Raw genomic sequence first — 18,789 nt, 5'->3', positions numbered from 1 at the left:
CACTATTCTCTTAATTATTCTGTGGTCATAAAATAAAACAGGGTGTAACAGTTCTCCAGAAATGACAGATATAGGTCACGTCCTCATTCCTGTTTCTTTGCTACAGGATAATCTAGTGTTCTTAAAATTTAAGTTATTGAATGTCTAAAATGTACACCATATATTATTAAGAAAATAAATTAAAATATAGTTTCTAGCACTTAAAAAGCCTAACACTGGCTATGATGTACATGTTCCATTATTTTCACGTGTATGTATTTTATTTAGTTTAGGTAAATATGTCATATATCATTATTCAACAACTCCCTCAATTTCTACCCAGGAAAAAGAAGTGGGAGGTGAGTCTCAACAGTGAATGACTGGAAACAAGAGCTTATAAAACTGCTTTTGGGTGTGTTCCCAGTGGACAGAAGAAAACAAGAATAAGAATCTTTAAAAATCATGATTAAAGGTCTTTCGTGTAACTAGTGGAACTAGGAAATACCTGTAGATACCAAGAAGTCTAAAGAATATGAAAGAGCACTCCTAGCACTTTGGGAGGCCGAGGTGGGCAGATTGCCTGAGCTCAGGAGATTGAGACCAGCCTGGGCAACATGGTAAAACCCCGTCTCTACTAAAATAAAAAAAATTAGCCAGGCGTGGCGACGTGCACCTGTAGTCCCAGCTACTCGGGAGGCTGAGGCGGGAGAATTGCTTGAACCCGGGAGGCAGAGGTTGTAGTGAGCCAAGACCGCACCACTGCACTCCAGCCTGGGCAACACAGTGAGACTCTGTCTCTGAAAAAAAAAAAATAATATGAAAGAGGCCAGGTGTGGTGGCACACACTTGTAATACCAGCACTTTGGGAGGCCGAGGCAGGAGGACTGCTTAAGCTCAGGAGTTTGAGACCAGTCTGGGCAACATAACGAGACCCTATCTCTATAAAAAATATTTTAAAATTAGCCAGGTGTAGCGGCATGCACCTGTGGTCCCAGCTAGTTGGGAGGCTGAGGTGGGAGGATCACTTGAGCCCAGGAAGTCGAGGCTGCAGTGAATCAAGTTCCTGCCACTGTGCTCCAACCTAAGTGACAGAGACCGAGAGAAAGAGAGAGAGAGAGAAAGAAAGAGAGAGAGAGAGAGGGAGAGAAAGAAAGAAAGAAAGAAAGAAAGAAAGAAAGAAAGAAAGAAAGAAGAAAAGGAAGCAGAAAGAAAAAGAAAGAAAAGAAAGAGAGAGAGAAAGAGAGAGAAAAGAAAAGAGAGAAAGAGAAAGAAGAGCAACAGTAGAAGAAAAGGAAGAAGAAAAAGAATAATAGAGTTCCCTTTTTCAGAAAAGAAGGCACTTGTATGGGGAGTAACTGAGTACCCCCAGGGACTGTTTCAAATGCCACATTTTCTGCCTTTTTCCTTCTAAAATGCCTAAGAAACAACCAATGAAAATAAGACTGTTTTGAGATAAAAGTTACTAATTATGTCAAAGCCGACAGAATACTCAGGTAGAATGAACTGTGGCTTTTACTTTTTTTTTTATTTTTTAGAGACAGGGTCTTGCTCTATTGCCTGGCTGGAATGCAGTGGTGTGATCACAGCTCACTGCAGCCTCGAACTACTGGACTCAAAGGATCCTACTGCCTCAGCCTCCTGAGTAGCTAGGACTATAGGCATGCTCCACCTTGCCTGGCTAACTTTTAAATTTTTCTTTGTAAAGATGGGGTCACATTTTGCTGCCCAGGCTGGTCTTGAATTCTAGGCCTCAAGTGATCCTCCCCTTGGCCTCCCAAAGTGCTGAGATTACAGGCATGAGCCACTGTGCCTGGCCAGGACTGTGATGTTAAAAGTTTGCTAAAGAAATAATCAAGAACAAAACCAGGTTAGATTGAGACAAAAAACAAGCTAGCAGTGAGTGAGCTGTATAGTGCCTGCTGACTTAGGTGGCGTGTTTCAGCTTGGCACACTGATAAATCCATTGAGCAATCAATAGATACTCTTTTTGATGAAGTTAAAAAAGAAAGTGAGAAAGAAACACCTTCATTACAAATAGGAGATCTAGGGCCACAAGAGTCCTTGAAGACGTTTAACAACACAAACAGTCCACACCATTGATAAGAGAATAAATAAGAATAAAACCTAAGTTGCTAATATACTGGAAATATCAGGAAAAAGGAAATAACAAATGAACTTAGGGAGAAGCAGAGCATTGTAGGACAGATAAGGCTCAGAGAAGAATGCTAAGTTAAATGAAAACATAAGACTAGGACAGAACTTAAGTTAAAGACATGCTTTTTAAAATAGACAAGTCACTGGAGGACACACTAAAATGACTGACCCAAATCGGATTTAAATGAGATGTGCCATTCCATGGTTTACTTTTAAATAGAGTAAATATTAATTATATTTTGGCCATCTTTGAAACTTATCTCCCCAACTGCATATACAAGGTATAACTATAAAGTAATGAGACTTAAGAAACCACCAGCTACAAACACACCAGACCTTTTTATCAGATGAGTGTGGTCCTTTGATATTATCACATCAGGTACAATAACAGTAAAATCTGTATTATTATAGTAATTTATATTTTGAACAACACTTTAATATCCATTTTCCTTATTCCAACTTATCTTCAACAACCCCATATGACAGATATTTTAAAGATGAGGCTCAGAGAAGTATCTTGTTAAATGTGACACACTTAAAAGTGAAGCAGGACTAGACTGACTCCTTGCTTTGTGTTCTTTTCAGCACAACTTGTTGCCTTACCATATAATTAATCCAGAGATGCTGCCATTACTCAAAACGTTTTTGGAACTCCTCTTTTGGAAGTGCCTCCAGAGCCACTGTATCAGCAACACGAGAAAAACCAGTCTCATTACCTTATAATCATACCTTGTTTCTGACCCCAAATGGTATCATCTAGCTTGATCACTCACCTTATTTATCAGTCTTGACTCCGAATGACTTTTGGCTGTCCAAAAATCAAATCCACCCTCAAAGGACGAAGATTTCCCATCATTGAGGATAATCAAAAGAATGTGTCGCAGACTCTGAAGGCAATGCCAAAAGAGGAGTTCCAAAAATGTTTTTGAACAAGGACAGCATTGTTGGAATAGGTGTGTAGCCTCCCAAGGTAACTACTTTGAAGGGACAATACTCATTTGGATATGTTTGTTCTGGCATGTTTATTTTCAAAGTCCTATTAATTTATAGTCATACTTTATAAACAACAAAATAGTTACAGAAATATGAAGTTTTTAGTAGGACCACTGCCTCGATAGAAAACTTATAAACTATTAATCATAAAAGTTTTAAATTAAAAAAAAGACTTTAACAGGATAAAGTCTTAGAAGTAAAATTTCTGGAACAAAAGGCATGTATATATCCATTCTTCTTTTTTCATATGGGAAACTGAAGATTAGAAAGATAATGTGACTCACTCAAAGTCACAGTATTCGTTTCTGGCAGGGTTTAAACTAAAAATGAAGGTTTTTTTTTGACTTTGTACACTAGGTCACTCTACCTAGACCATATCTCAAGAAAAACAAAAATAGTTTAATAATTCACAAAGATTAAAATACCAATGGTGACTTTGAGATACTGTTATAAACACATTAAATTCACCAAAACCAATAATTTATGCTAACTATTCTGGCATGAGCCTGAAGCAATTTATTCTTCTTATACTTTGATTCTGTAGTATCAATCTGACCTATTATGATCATTATTTATACTCACAAAGAAGCCAGTAATCCTTAGGAGATAAAGACCAAGCAGCAGCATAAATTCTAAATTTCTTGGCCTTTGTTTCAACTAAGACCCCTTTTTTTCTTATTTAAAATTTATGTTTTAAAATGACACAAACACACATACGTACATACAATTAAACCAGAGCTCACGTTTACTCATAAATTCAAACTCAAATATTGCTGGATTCCTTTACCTTTATTGTTATAGACATCTAGGTAATTGGGGGCAGAGAAAATTGTAATAAGTGATGGAAAGCCTGTGGCTTGGCTCTTCCTGTACATTCGATACCTGAAAAAGAGATGAAAGTCCATCTGTCTGCATATTAAATGCAAAGACTCTGCAGCGATATTTGGTACAATTTTAATGTAACTTACCCAGCATCTTGGGCTTCATGGGCTCTGATAATTGATAGTAAATTATTGTTCTGCAAAAATTCACAAACTGCAGGGTAACTGGAAAAGAAAATTAGAAAACATAAATCCAGAATTAAAACAATTTTTTTTAATAGGAAGATGGGGAAAAGTCAAGGTGATATTAGCTGATTTTGTTTCAAAACTACAAGTATTACACACTACTGAAATTTTATGAATAGCTTAGTACTCATCATTCTGTTTCTCTATTTCACTAATATACTTCACTACAGATCAAACATGAAAACAATAGATAATCCTACAATAGAAAGAGCTCCTCCATCTCATCTTTTAATTTTTTTGTCTTAATCCATAACAATACAACACCAAAACTTTTATCAGTGTCTTGATATTACAAAGTACAACAGTAGTGTGTGTGTGTGTGTGTGTGTGCGTGTGTGTGTAGTAGATGCTAAAAATTCAACACATACTTTTCTTCAATTGTCAAATTGTTACAGAAATAAAAGAATATACTTACAGCTTCACAGGTAATATAAACACCAAGATAATATTATGCAGGAATACATATATACATATATATGTATATATATAGGTTTGTTTTTTTTTTTGAGACGGAGTCTTGCTCTGTCGCCCAGGCTGGAGTGCAGTGGTGCAATCTCGGCTCACTGCAAGCTTATGCAGGAATATTTTAGGAGCAGATGTAAATATTTTAGCCAACCATATTCTAAAAAAAGATACAATATTCTCATATACTCCTAAAATATTCTTTTCATACTATTACCTCTCTGAATGACAAATACCTGATAGGAAGAACTGGAGTATACAAAATTAACCTGGAATTACTTAGGCATTAATTATTTAGTTTATTTTTAAAATCTTTGTTTCTCATTATGCTCATTAGAACAAATTTACTTTTAAAGTAGGTTGTAGGTGACGTAAGCAAGATAGCAAAAGAGAATGTCCCCAGCCCTGGTCCTCCTACAGAAACAATAGTTTGGAAGCCATCCATGGCCATAAGTGCCATTGTAAGAACCTTAGGATTGAGGTAGGTGGTTATGAAACCTTGGTGGAGCCCAAGACTAGGAAGGGCTGCTTGGAGAAGGCAGGCCCACTGACCTTTCAGCTACAGACCCAGAATCAGCCTGTCCCTTGTAAACCCGGCTCCAGTCCCACTTGTCTGCAGTCCTACCACCAGCCTCATCCATCCTGGGAAGGAACCATGTCTGTTGATGCCCCTAGTAACAGATCCACCAACCAGACCCAACTGCAGACTCAAAGCAGCACTCTGACCTGGCTCCAGCCCTGCTCTACTGTGGCCAAGAGGAAGTCCTGCCTTAACAGGGGCCTTGTGGAAATCATGCCTGTCCATTCCTCTGGTAAAAGGGCTGCTGATTGGACCCAAACATAAACCCAAACCAGCCTGGGACCCAGCTTGGGTCCCACCCTATTGAGTTCCAGAGACAGCTCTCCCCATCCATGGGACATACTTGTCCATGCCCCTAGTGGTACGCCCACTGACTGTGAACCCTAATGTAGCCCCATAATCTAGCTTCAGCCCTGCTTAATCACAATACCACAGGCAATCCCATCAACCCAGGGACTCAATAGGAGAAGGTATTTACTTGGCGAACGAGTCCATAAAAACTGGAAGGCCCCTGCTCCTTCAAATGCATAGACTCCATTGCAAGGCTATATGAATTATAAAGAACCAGGCAAAAATGACACCACCAAAGGAAACTAATAAACCTCTAGTAACTGGCCCTAAATAAATAGAGATGTATGAATTGCATGACAAAGAATCCAAAATAATCATCTTAAAGAAGCTCAATGAACTACAACTAAACAAAATCAGGAAAGCAAATAAATGAATAAAGAGAGATGTTTAATAAAGAAACAGAAACCATAAAAAAGAAGCAAATAGAAATCCTGGAGCTGAAGAATACAATGACTCAACTGAAAAGCTCAAGAGACAGCTTCAACAGCAGACTCAGGCAGAAGAAAAGAACTGGGAAACTTAAAAGACAGGTCATTTGAAATGATAGCATTAGAGGGACAAAAAGAAAAAAGAATAAAAAAGAATGTGGAAAGTATACAGGACTTATGGGACAACATCAAGTGAAAATAATACAGGCATATGGGAGTTAAGGAGAAGAAAAAGGGGCAGAAAGCTTCTTATTTTTAAAAACTAAAGGCTAACAGTTTAACAAATCTAGGGAGGAAAAGGGACATTTCAATTCATGAAGCCCAAAGGTCTCCAAATAAGTTAAACACCAAGACTCATTATAATTAAGTTGTTAAAACTCAAAAAGAAAAAATCTGAAAGCAGCAAGAGAAAACCTACTTGTCATATAATATACAAGGAAGCTTCTATAAGACTATCAGTGAATTTCTCAGCTGAAACCTTGCAGGCCAGGAAAGCGGGAGATAATATATTCAAAGTACTAAAAGAAAGAAAAAAAAACCTGCCAACCAGGAATACTTTACTCATCAAAATTGCCCTTTAAGAATGAAGGAGAGATAAAGACTTTTCCAGACAAACAAAAACTGGAGTTTGTCATGACTACACCAGCCTTATGAGAGCAACTAAAGGAAGTTCAAGTAGAAACTAAAAGATGCAGCTGGCCACAGTGGCTCGTGCCTGTAATCCCAGCACTCTGGGAAGCTGAGGAAGGCAGATCACTTGAGGCCAGGAGTTAGAGACCAGCCTGGCCAACATGGTGAAACCCCATCTCTACTAAAAATATAAAAAATTAGCCAGGTGTGGTGGTGTGTGCCTGTAGTCCCAGCTACTCAGGAGGCTGAGGTAGGAGAATCACTTGAACCCGGGAGGCAGAGGCTGCAGTGAGCCAAGATCGCACCACTGCACTCCAGCCTAGGTGACAGAGCAAGACCCTGTCTCAAAAATAAAGTAAAACCTGAAATTAATTACATTAGGTGTGTGAATGGGGACTAAAGTGTAGAGTTTCTATACGTCATTGAAAGTAATTTCTTCTCAGCGTAAGACAGAGTGCTATAACTATAAAATGTTTGATGCAAACCCGATGAACAAAAAAGCACAGTAGATACACAAAAGATAAAAAGAACCAAAATACCCCACTACAAAAATAAAAATCAAATCACAAAGAGAAAAAGAGAGGAATAGTAGAACCACAAAACAGAAAGCAACCAACAAAATGGTAATAGTAAGTCCTTACCTATCAATCATTACTTTAACTCTCAAATCAAAAGATATAGTATGAGTGAATGGATGAAAACAAGACCCAACTACATGCTGTCTACAAAAGACTCACTTTAGATTTAAAGACACACATAAGCTGAAAGTAAAAGGGTAGAGAAAGGTATTCCATGCAAGTAAGTAACCGGAAGAGAACATGAGTGGCTAAACTTTTATCAGACAAAATAAACTTTAAGTCAGAAATCATCACAAGAGGGAACAAAAGTCATTATATAATGATAAAAGGGTCAATACAACAGAAAGATGTAACAATTATAAATATATATGTGCCCAACATCAAAGCACCTAAATATATAAAGCAACAACAGATCTGAAGGCAAACATTGACAGTAATAAAATAATAGCAAGTAGGACGGGCACAGTGGCTCACACCTGTAATCCCAGCACTTTGGGAGGCTGAGGTGGGTGGATCACCTGAGGTCAGGAGTTCGAAACCAGCCTGGCCAACATGGTGAAACTCCGTCTCTACTAAAAATACAAAAATTAGCTGGGCGTGATGGTGCATGCCTGTAATCCCAGCTACTTGGGAGGCTGAGGCAGGAGAATTGCTTGAACCCAGGAAGCGGAGGTTGCAGTGAGCCGAGGTCGCGCCACTATACTCCAGCCTGGGCGACAGAGCGAGACTCCATCTCAAAATAATAATAATAATAGCAAGTAACTTCAATACATCATTCTCTGTAATGGATAAATCATCCAGTCAGAAATCAATAAGCAAACAACAGAACTGAACAACACTATGAACCCAATGGACCTAATACGCATATACAAAACTTTTTGCCAAATAACAGAAGAATAGAATTCTTCCCAAGTGTACACAGAATATTCTTTAGGCTATATAATCACAAAGAAGTATCAACAAACTTAAGAAGATGTAAATCGTCCTAAGTATCTTTTCCCACCATAATGGAATGAAACTAGAAATCAATAACTTAAGAAAACAGGAAAATTCACAAATACATAGAAACTACACACCACACTTTTGAACAACTATTGTGTCAAAGAGGAAATCAAAAAGGAATTTTAAAATTATCTCTAGATAGGTCAGGAGTTCGAGACCAGCCTAAGCAACACAGCAAGACCTCATCTCCTCTAAAAATTTTAAAAACAATTAGCTGGGCATGGCGGTACATCCTGTAGTCCCAGCTACTCAGGAGGCTGAGGCAGGAGGACTGCTTGAGCCCAGGAGTTCAAGGTTGCAGTGAGGTATCATTGTGCCACTGCATTGAGCCTGGGTGACAGAGCAAAACATCCTATCTAAAAAAAAAAAAACCTCAAGATAAATGAAAACAAAAATATACATATCAAAATGTATGGGATGCAGCAAAAGCAGTACCTACAGGAAAGTTTATAGTAATAAATGCCGATTTAAAAAACAAAAAAGATCTGAATTAAACAACCTTATTTTACACTTCAAGAAACTAGAAAAAGGAGAATCAAATAAGCCCAAAGTAAGCAGAAGAAAGGAAAGTTTAGGGCAGAAATGAATCAAATAGAGAATAGAAAAACAACAGAAAAAAGTCAACAAAACTAAGAGTTGGTTTTTGAAAAACTAAACAAAATTGACAAACCCTTAGCAAGACTAAGAAAAAAAGAGATACTCAAATAAATAAAACAAAAAATGAAAGAGGAGACATTACAATAGATGCCTCAGAAATAAAAGGGATCATAACGGACTATTACGAATAATCACACACCAAAACACTGGAAAACCCAGAAGAAATGGATAGAGTCTGGAAATATACAACCTGCCAAAACTGAATCATGAAGAAATAGAAAGCCCAAACAGACCAATAGCAAATATGGAGATGGAATCAGTAATCAAACAGCTCTCAACAAAGAAAAGCACAGGACCAGATGGTTTCATGGGTGAATTCTATTAATCATTAAAAAAAAGAATTAATACCAATCTTTCTTAAACCTTCCAAAAAATAGAAGAGAGAATTCTTCCAAACTCACATTATGAGGCCAGCATCACTCTGATACCAAAGCCAAAGACACCAGAAGAAAGAAAAGTACAGGTGAGTATCTCTGATGAACATAGATTTTTAAATCCTCCATAAAACACTAGAAAGCCAAACTCAACAACATACTAAAAGTATTATATACTGTGGCTAAATGGGATTTATCCCTGGGATAAAAGAAGGCAGAGTATCACTTTGTTCAGCCTCAGCTGGGAACATGTGTGCTGGGTGAGTCAAATTTTTTATCTCATTATTCCCAGTAGCTACATTCTATAATGTTGCTGCAAAAACAGAATTAGCAAATAATGAAACACTACTGCTAAGGGAAATACAGGGTGAAGTTCCTGTGAGGCTCCGGTCATAACATTTTCACCCACCAATTAATATATAACCTTGTTTCAGATGTGTTTCTGTGTAATAATACTTTAGGTCATTTACACTGTTGATTCATTAACATTGAACTCATGGCCAAAACCACCATAACTCATGCCTAAACAAAGCTTATATCTAACACTCGCATATTTTCTCTGTAAGACATACCACAGCCTTTTTGTGCTTAGGGACCCTAGACAGCAGCACTTCAGCACTACACTTGGTGGCCATTCTAAACAGTGAAATCACTCATGAAAAGCACAAAAACATAAAACATCTTTCACTAAATAAAACTCAAAAGAATGCCTGTTTACAACATGAGGGCTGCAAAAAGAAGGTAGGGCATCATTTTGTTCAACCTCAGCTAGGAACATGTGAGTGAGGTGACTCAAATTTTTTGTTGCATTGCACACTACATTCCCATGAATGATTATGAAACCTCTGTAAGTACTGATTTGGGTGTTACAAATACATCTTAGTAAGTGGGGGAATTCACAAATATGAAATCCACAAGTAATGAGAATCAATTATATATCTACAGGATTAAGTTTTAGAAGTAGAATTTCTGGATCAAAGGCCATGTACAAATACCTTTGAAAGATATTGCCAAGTTGATGTCCACAGAAATTGTACCAATTTCTATTCTGACAACAATGAATATGTATTATGCTCTTTATTTTAAGCAATGTAAAAAGAAATAAAAGTTAAATGATTTCATCACATTAGTCACTGGAAAAGTTGGCATGGAGGAATGAAAAATGGTTGTTGGCTGGGTGGGGCTCATCCCTGTAATCCCAGCACTTTGGGAGGCCAAGTAGGGAGGGTCACTTGAGTCTAGGACTTCAAGACCAGCCTGGGCAAAACAGCCAAGACCTTGTTTCTACAGAAAATAAAAAAAGCAGCTGGGCATGGTGGCACATGCCCATAGTTCCAGCTACTCAGGAGGCTGAGGCAAGAGGACTGCTTGAGTCCAGAAGGTTGAGGCTGTAGTGAGCTGTTATGGTGCCACTGCACTCCAGCCCGGGTAACAAAGAGAGACCTTGTCTCAAAATAAAATAAAATAAAATAAAATAAAATAAAATAAAATAAAGAAGAAGAAAGAAAAAAAGACTTTTTACTATCCATCTGACAAGAGATTAATAACCAGAATATGTAAGGAGCTCAAACAATTCAATAGGAAAAATCCAATAATCCAATTTAAAAATGAGCAAAATATCTGAATAGACATTTCTTAAAAGGAGACATAAAATGGCAAACAGGTATATGAAAAGGTATTCAATATCACCGATCATCAGAGAAATGCAAATCAAAACTTCAATGAGATATCATCTCACCCAGTTAAAATGACTTTTATCCAAAAGACAGGCAATGACAAATGCTGGTGAGGATGTCGAGAAAAGGGAACCCTCATATCCTATTGGTGGGAATGTTTAGTACACTACTATGGAGAACAGTTTGGAGTTCCTCAAAAAAACTAAAAACAGAACTACCATGTAATTCAGCAATCTCACTACTATGTATGTATATAAAAGAAAGGAAATCAGTATATTGAAGAGACATCTGCACTTTCATGTTTATTGCAGCACTGTTCACAATAGCCAAGATTTGGAAGCAACCTAAGTGTCTATTAACAGATGAAAGGACAAAGAAAATGTGGTACATATACACAGTGGAATATTATTCAGCCATTGAAAAGAATGAGATCCTGTCATTTGCAACAACATGAATGGAACTGGAGGTCATTATGTTAACTGAAATAAGCCAGGCACAGGAAGACAAACTTCACACGTTCTCACTTATTTGTAGGAGCTAAAAATTAAAACAACTGAACTCATGGAGATGAGAGTAGAATGATGGTTACCAGAGGCTGGGAAGGGTAGTAAGAGGGGAAATGGGATAGTTAATGGGTCGAAAAAAACAGTCAGAAAGAATGAATAAGACCTAGTATTTGATACTGTGAGATTTAAACAACAGGGTGACTATAGTGAATAATAATTTAATTGTAAATTTTAAAATAACTAGAAGAGGCCGGCCACAGTGGCTCATGCCTGTAATCCCAGCACTTTGGGAGGCTGAGGTGGGTGGATCACTTGAGGTTAGGAGTTCCAAACTAGCCTGGCCAACATGGTGAAACCCCATCTCTAAAAAACACAAAAATTAGCCAGGCATGGTGGTAGGTGCCTGTAATCCCAGTACTCAGGAGGCTGAGGCAGGAGAATTGCTTGAACCTGGGAAGTGGAGGATGCGGTGAGCTGAGATCACACCAGCCTGGGTGACCGAGCAAGACTCCGTCTCAAAAAAGGAAAAAAAAAAAAAAAGGTGAAAAAAAAAACAACAAAAAATAAAATAAATAAAAGAGTAATAATTGGATTGTTTGTAACACAAAGGATAAATGCTTGAGGTGATGGATAACTCATTTACCTTGATGTGATTATTATACATTGTATGACTATATCAAAATATCTCATATAACCCATAAATATATATACCTACTATGTACCCACAAAAATTTTAAAAAATATTTTTTTAAAGAAAAAAAGGTTGTTTAGAAGAATGCTAAAAGTAATGGCGAAATCAAAGTTTCATGTGTGTGTGCATGTGTGTATTCTAATGAACACATTATCTTAGCCAATTAACAGAGATTTTTAGGGAAATAAACATATGTATTATTTGCCACAATAAAATACTGGGATTAAAAATAATTTAGATTTCCAACTTCTCTTATGTCTTCCTTTTTTTTTTTTTTTTTTTTTTTGGAGACAGAGTCTTGCTCTGTTGCACAGGTTGGTGTGTAGTGGCACAATCTTGGCTCACTGCAACCTACACCTCCCAGGTTCAAGTGATTCTCTTGCCTGAAGTCTCCCAATTAGCTGGGATTACAGGCGTGTTGCCACCACATCTGGCTAATTTTTTTATTTTTAGCAGAGATGGGGTTTTGCCATGTTGGCCAGGCTGGTCTCGAACTCCTGGCCTTAAGTGATCCGCCCGCCTAGGCACCCCAAAGAGCTGGGATTATAGGCGTGAGCCACCACGCCCTGCCTGTCTTCCTATTTTTGAGTGTCTAATCATAATGAAAGCTCCTGTGAAATTTAAAACAACAGCCAACTTCCAGGAAATGTACTGGGCTTAGTTCACAATGTCCTGTTCTTTTTATATCTTAGTCTATACTAGTGGTTACAAAATTTGGAGAGCTTTTGAAAATACAATAGGATTCCTCTCAGACCTAGTGTATTAGAATCTCTGGGGAAAGAGCCAAGAAAGCTTTAATTTTTTTTAAAAAAGTGTATAGATAATGTTTAGGAACAAATAGTCTAGATCACTTAGAGTCAGACAAAAATATCAGAGCACTGCAGGATGTCCAATCATGTTTGGTGTATTACACTTCTTAGGATATATACCTAAGAAAATATAAAAAGCCAACAAACAAACAAGTTTCTTGCCTCCTATTAATCGAAAAATTAAACAGGAGTGCTTATACTACATAGATTTGAAATATAAAATGCTGAAAAATCATCTGATAAAATGAATTACAGTTTCCTTTCATAATTTTCGACCTCAAGGACTAGCTTACCTGTAGAAATAAGAGCACCCTCGGACAGTGTTGTGGGTATAGTGCTCCAAGGTCTTCTCATTGCCATAATCCTCTGAGGGATCAGACCAAAGCAGGTCACACACAGGTCCAAAGGCGGGAGGTTCCGTAAACCTGTCTAACTAGAAGACACACAAAAGCCAAAAGAAAAAAATCAGGAGAGCAAAAGGCTTCTTGGAAACTAGTATGTGTCAAAGAAAAACCCCTTTCACCCACAAGAATGTATTAGGAGAGAAGCCAGTGTGCCCCTAAAGGACTTTCCTGCAAGAAAAGGAACACTTAACAATTTTAGATACATAATTTTTATTATTTTTCTGAAATAAATTTTTTTTTTTTTTGAGACGGAGTTTCGTTCTTATTGCCCAGGCTGGAGTGCAATGGCACGATCTCGGCTCACCGCAAACTCCGCCTCCCAGGTTCAAGCGATTCTCCTGCCTCACCCTCCCTAGTAGCTGGGATTACAGGCATGTGCCACCACACCCGGCTAATTTTGTATTTTTAGTAGAGATGGGGTTTCTCCATGTTGGTCAGGCTGGTCTCGAACTCCTGACCTCAGGTGATCCGCCCTCCTCGGCCTCCCAAAGTGCTGGGATTACAGGCGTGAACCACCGCGCCCGGTCTGCAATAAATTTTTATAAACATCCCTGTCATCTAACCATACTGTAGTAAAAGACCCTCTTACATCCTAATCGTAAAGCAGTGCTAATTTAATTCAAATGTGAAATCAACCACTATAGAGATATACTATTTTAGAAAGACTATGACTATATAAAATTAATTTTATTTGTCTAGGTGAGCCAATGTTACCATGACAGCAGAAATGTTTTACAATGGTTCTGTTCATTGCAAACCTCATTCCAGTGGAGATTTCTTTATTTTAAAGAATGCTAATTTTGTAAGGGCATTTATCCTTTCCAGTCTATGCAGTTGAGGTATTTCAATATGAGTTATTAACTTAAGCCTTTAGTCACTGCTGCTTTAGTTGAAAGCATAAAAACCAAGAGAAAACAAGTAATAGAATAGCTGAATGCCAAGAAGAGAATTTCTACTGCGTGAAAGAGCTTTTTATTGATACAATTGATTCAGAATTATAAAATTCATATTTTACTATGTAAAAGAGAAATGCTGGTTACTTAAAAGACAGTAAGGCAAGAGGAAAGCCAGTACATATAGGTACACCCTCTTACCCTGAGGAGACTTTCTTCAGAGAAAATAGTTTTATAAACAGAAAAATTTTTAGTCTCAGTACCTGTAAGAGAGGATGAGTATCTATCACTTTGATTAAAAAAGACAGAGAGACAGGTAGAAGAATTCAAAGGTAGAGAAGATAAGACAACCATGTACAATAAAAATTGGTCATCTTTTTCCATAATGAAGATACAGAATCTTGGAAATAATAATCACCAAGGAAGGCAAGTAAAACAATGAAACCGTTATCATCTAAAATGTCAAAGCCAATGCATTTCGGAGCTGGCAGTGTCCTCAGACCATCCCTTCCAACTTCCTCATTTCATAGAGAAGAAATGTGACTAAGAGGTTCAATAACTTGGTTAAGGTTACACAGTTAATGGCAGGACTGTGATTAGAACCCTGGTTTCCTTCCTTTTGCACTGCGATATAATTCAAAGTTTCAGGACTATACTACAAGAATGTTAGCTTTCTAGTTGGTAAAAACATAGAGCTCATTAAAAATTATAATTTGTGGTAGGTACATATCAAAATGTTAACAGTAGTTATAGTGATGAAATCAGAGGTAACTTCCATTTTCTTACTTTTCATTATCTATATTTTAAAGATTTCAGCTAAAGATATATTGGTTGACTGCAATAAGAAACAAATTTTAGGCCAGGCGTGCGGTGGCTCACACCTGTAATCCCAGCACTTTGGGAGGCCAAAGTGGGCAGATCAGTTGAGGTCAGGAGTTCAAGACCAGCCTGGCCAACATGGTGAAACCCCGTCTCTACTAAAAATACAAAAATTAGCCAGGTGTGGTGGTGTGCACCTGTATCCAGCTACTCGGGAGGCTGAACCAGGGAGGCGGAGGTTGCAGTGAGCTGAGATAGCACCACTGTACTTCAGCCCGGGTGAAAGAGAGAGACTCTGTCTCAAAGCAAACAACAACAACAAAAAAACCCAACACATTTTAAAAATATTCCCTGTGAGAATAATAAAAGATTACTTACTTTCCTAATGTCATCTAAAGAAGTAATTTCAGGTGACATTCCTCCATGTACACAGAGAAACTGCTGGTTTAAGAGGGCAGCAAGAGGAAGACAGTCAAATGTCTCCATACAGGCATCATACACCTGTTCCGAATATTTGATTCGACCTAACAAAAAAGGAAAACCAGTCAATGGAAGAACTAAAACGTATCACATTTGAAAAAGGATATAGGCCAGGAGAATATGAAGCTACTTTAGAGCCATTTATTTTAGATGATTTGAAAGCACAATTATCTTTGTAAAGATACTTTTGAAAAGTTGTGGATAATAGGTTAACAATACCTCTCTCCTCTTAAAGACAAGTGTGACCTTGGATTAACTTTCCAGCTCTGTTGCTTGGAAATGTGATAAGGTGACTGTCCACTGTGTTATTAGGCAACATGGCTTGTGGTAAAAATTACCCAGTTACCTGGTGGGAAGCTATAGCTTTGGGCTCCTCTGAAGGTAGTTTTACAACACACATTGACATTTTTGATGCACGAGGCTTCTATACCAGGATGGCTCCCTAATCTTCCCACTGTGGATATTTCCTTGTACCTGAGCTGGTGAGAAGATGGGAGGGGGCAAGAGAGATGGAAAGCTGCTGGACTGCGGTATGCACTCCTGTGAGGACCACTCCACTGAAAAGGAATGCCCAGTGCTGCCCTTCCTGACCTATATCCTTTTAAGTATATGGATGACAACTAGGGTCCATGGTAGTCTTGTGAGTCTGAATATTTTATTGGGTCTTAAAGATCTCTTAGGGGTGTTGAAGATATATAAGTGGAAACTGGAGTCTTAAGAGACATCAATAAAATGTCAATAATGTTTTTGCTCATAATTTTTAAGGTCTGTAAACAAATTATGTCTTGATTCTATTTTCTCTAAAAACATTTGGCTTAAACTGGTGTGGTGGCTCACGCCTGTAATCCCAATGTTTTGGAAGGCTGAGGTCGGGGGATTGCTTGAGGCCAGGAGTTTGAGACCAGCCTGGGCAACACAGTGAGGCCTCTTTTTTTTTTTTTTTTTTTGAGACGGAGTCTTGCTCTGTCCCCCAGGCTGGAGTGCAGTAGCGGGATCTTAGCTCACTGCAGCTCTGCCTTCCGGGTTCTTGCAATTCTTCTGCCTCAGCCTCCCAAGTAGCTGGGACTACAGGCACACGCCACCACGCCCGGCTAATTTTTGTATTTTTAGTAGGGACGGGGTTTCACCATGTTGGCCAGGCTGGTCTCAAACTCCTGACCCCGCAATCCGCCTGCCTTGGCCTCCCAAAGTGCTGGGATTACAGGCGTGAGCCACTGCGCCTGGCCAAGGCCTCGTTTTTACAGAAAATTGAAAAACAAAATTAGCTGGCTGTGGTGGCACACACCTGCTGTCCAAGCTACTTGGGAGGCTGAGGTGGGAGGATAGATTGAGCCCAGGAGTTTGAGGCTGCAGTGAACTACGATAGTGTCACTGCACTCCAGCCTGAGCAACAGAGTGAGCCTCTGTCTCTAAACAATAAAAAATAAATGTTTGGCTTAATAAATTATATTTTGATGTGGCTGTCAACTTGGGGCTACAGAATAAGGAAATACATCAGTGGGTGGAAGGAGGAGTCTCTACAAATCTCTGGAAAGGAAAAGTCATGAAATAATAGGTGGGAAACTGGAAAATGGGTGTTTAAAGAGAAAAAGGAACATTTTCTTCTTCCTTGGCCTTGGTTTCAAAAAGTCAAGCTGTGCTCAGGGATGTGTGTGGGTAGAGAAGACGAGAAATATAGTCAGGCAACCCTGCAGAACCGTGAGCTCCTTCTCCTCTTCCAGGATTCTGGGAAGATGAGGTGGCCTACAGGACCAAGAGACCAAAGCTGTATCGAGTGAGTCAGACTATCTAGTTGGTAATTATTTCTGTGTTTATTTCCTTTTTGTGATCTCTAAGCCTTTAGAAAGACATATTTAAGGATCAGAGCCTGGTCCTGGCAAGGTTTTGGGGAATAAAGTGAAGAATGATGGGTCCAGATTTGGGCCAGACTGCAGTACTATATGGGTGGCAGGAATGATTAAGAGAGAGATCCCTAAGGAAAGTGTAAACCAGTAGACCACGCTTGAGGTTGTAAGGCCTTCCATCCCTGAGTGTGAAGATTTCTCTTTAACGCCAATACTGGGTGATTAGGGTTTGAGTTCATTAAGGGAGCCTGTGGGTTTCTTTGAGGTTTTCAGAACATTTTGTATTGCTGTTGTAGCAGTCAGCATAATCTATTCCACAACATATGCTAACTTTATTAGGAGCTCAAAGTTCACAAGAACCATGTCTTATGCATCATTGCCTCTCCTTACAGTTACATCCTTATACTCTGCTTTGTTTTAAATTTTGCCCATTTCAAAGTAGATCCAGCATTGGCCATAAAGTCTGTTGGAAGTAAAAAACAAACAGAAAACTCTTTAATTTGTGGTCAGTGATTGACTTTTTCTCCTGAAAATCCTAGGAACCAGAGTTCCCTCTGTTGCCAGTGTCAGTAAGGAATTCCTCCATGGGAGTTCCACACTTGAATAGAGGTAGGAATTTCAATTACTTATTAATTTATGCTCCATAACATCTTACATTGATAAATGCCTTTCAATCCCAAGAATGACTCAAAATAATTCCTTAGCCTACTTCCAAAAAAGAATGCCAAGTCTGGACAAGTAAGGAAGTGTATTGTCATTTTGTAAATTAAAACAGGAGGTCAAAAATTAAGCAAAAAGAAGTTCATGTTATATTAATATGTGAATAAAATAGGCTATGAAATATCACCATGTTTATTTTTTCAAAGTATATGAATTGCATATATAATTACCAGTATTTAATTTTCTGAGGGGTTAGACTGACAATGGTATCTATATTTTTCTTAGTTTAGCTGTTCTTTCTTTTTTATGATGAATATGTAATCTTTATATAATAACATTTATTATTATACCACCTTTTAAAAAAATTTTTTTAGAGACAGGATCTTACTGTTGCCTAGGCTGGAGTGCAGTAGTGCAATCATAGCTCACTGTAACCTCAAGCTCCTAGGATCAAGTGGTCCTCCTGTCTAATCTTCTAAGTAGCTGGGACTACAAGCGCACACCACCACACCCAGCTAATTTTTAAAAATTACTTGTAGAGACAGGGTCTCGATATGCTGCCCAGGTTGGTCTTCAATTCCTGGCCTCAAGCAATCCTCCTGCCCCAGCCTCCCAAAGTGCTGGGATTACAGGCATGAGGTACTGCACTTGTACCTGGCCTATATTACCTTTATTATTTAAATGTATTGAAGGCTCATGATGTGTCTGTCAGTGAGTTAAGCATTTGGCATGGCATGGTGGTGAAGAGAATG

The 18,789-nt window shown here is 38.3% G+C and overlaps 1 protein-coding gene and 1 long non-coding RNA gene across 7 annotated transcripts in view; one reads left to right on the top strand and one right to left on the bottom strand.

The window, feature by feature from the left end:
- PPP3CC (protein phosphatase 3 catalytic subunit gamma) overlaps positions 1–18,789 on the bottom strand; it is a 100,048-nt gene that overhangs the window by 14,463 nt on the left and 66,796 nt on the right. For 5 of the 6 annotated variants that reach the window (NM_001243974.2, XM_047421941.1, NM_005605.5 and 2 more), the window contains exons 5-8: positions 15,432–15,577; positions 13,231–13,370; positions 4,095–4,172; positions 3,914–4,008 (exon numbers count right to left, since the gene is read on the bottom strand). In NM_001243974.2, coding sequence (NP_001230903.1) covers positions 3,914–4,008; positions 4,095–4,172; positions 13,231–13,370; positions 15,432–15,577 — 459 coding nt within the window. Of the gene's footprint in view, positions 1–2,906; positions 3,021–3,913; positions 4,009–4,094; positions 4,173–13,230; positions 13,371–15,431; positions 15,578–18,789 lie in introns of all 6 variants that reach the window. The other variant, XR_007060744.1, reaches the window with a different exon arrangement.
- LOC124901905 (uncharacterized) overlaps positions 1–18,789 on the top strand; it is a 72,590-nt gene that overhangs the window by 27,463 nt on the left and 26,338 nt on the right. The gene's annotated exons all lie outside the window — the stretch shown is intronic.

Source organism: Homo sapiens, chromosome 8, assembly GCF_000001405.40.
Source record: "Homo sapiens chromosome 8, GRCh38.p14 Primary Assembly".
Lineage (NCBI taxonomy): Eukaryota > Metazoa > Chordata > Mammalia > Primates > Hominidae > Homo > Homo sapiens.
Note: the sequence above shows the minus strand (reverse complement) of the source record. Positions and strands in the feature narration are given on the sequence as shown.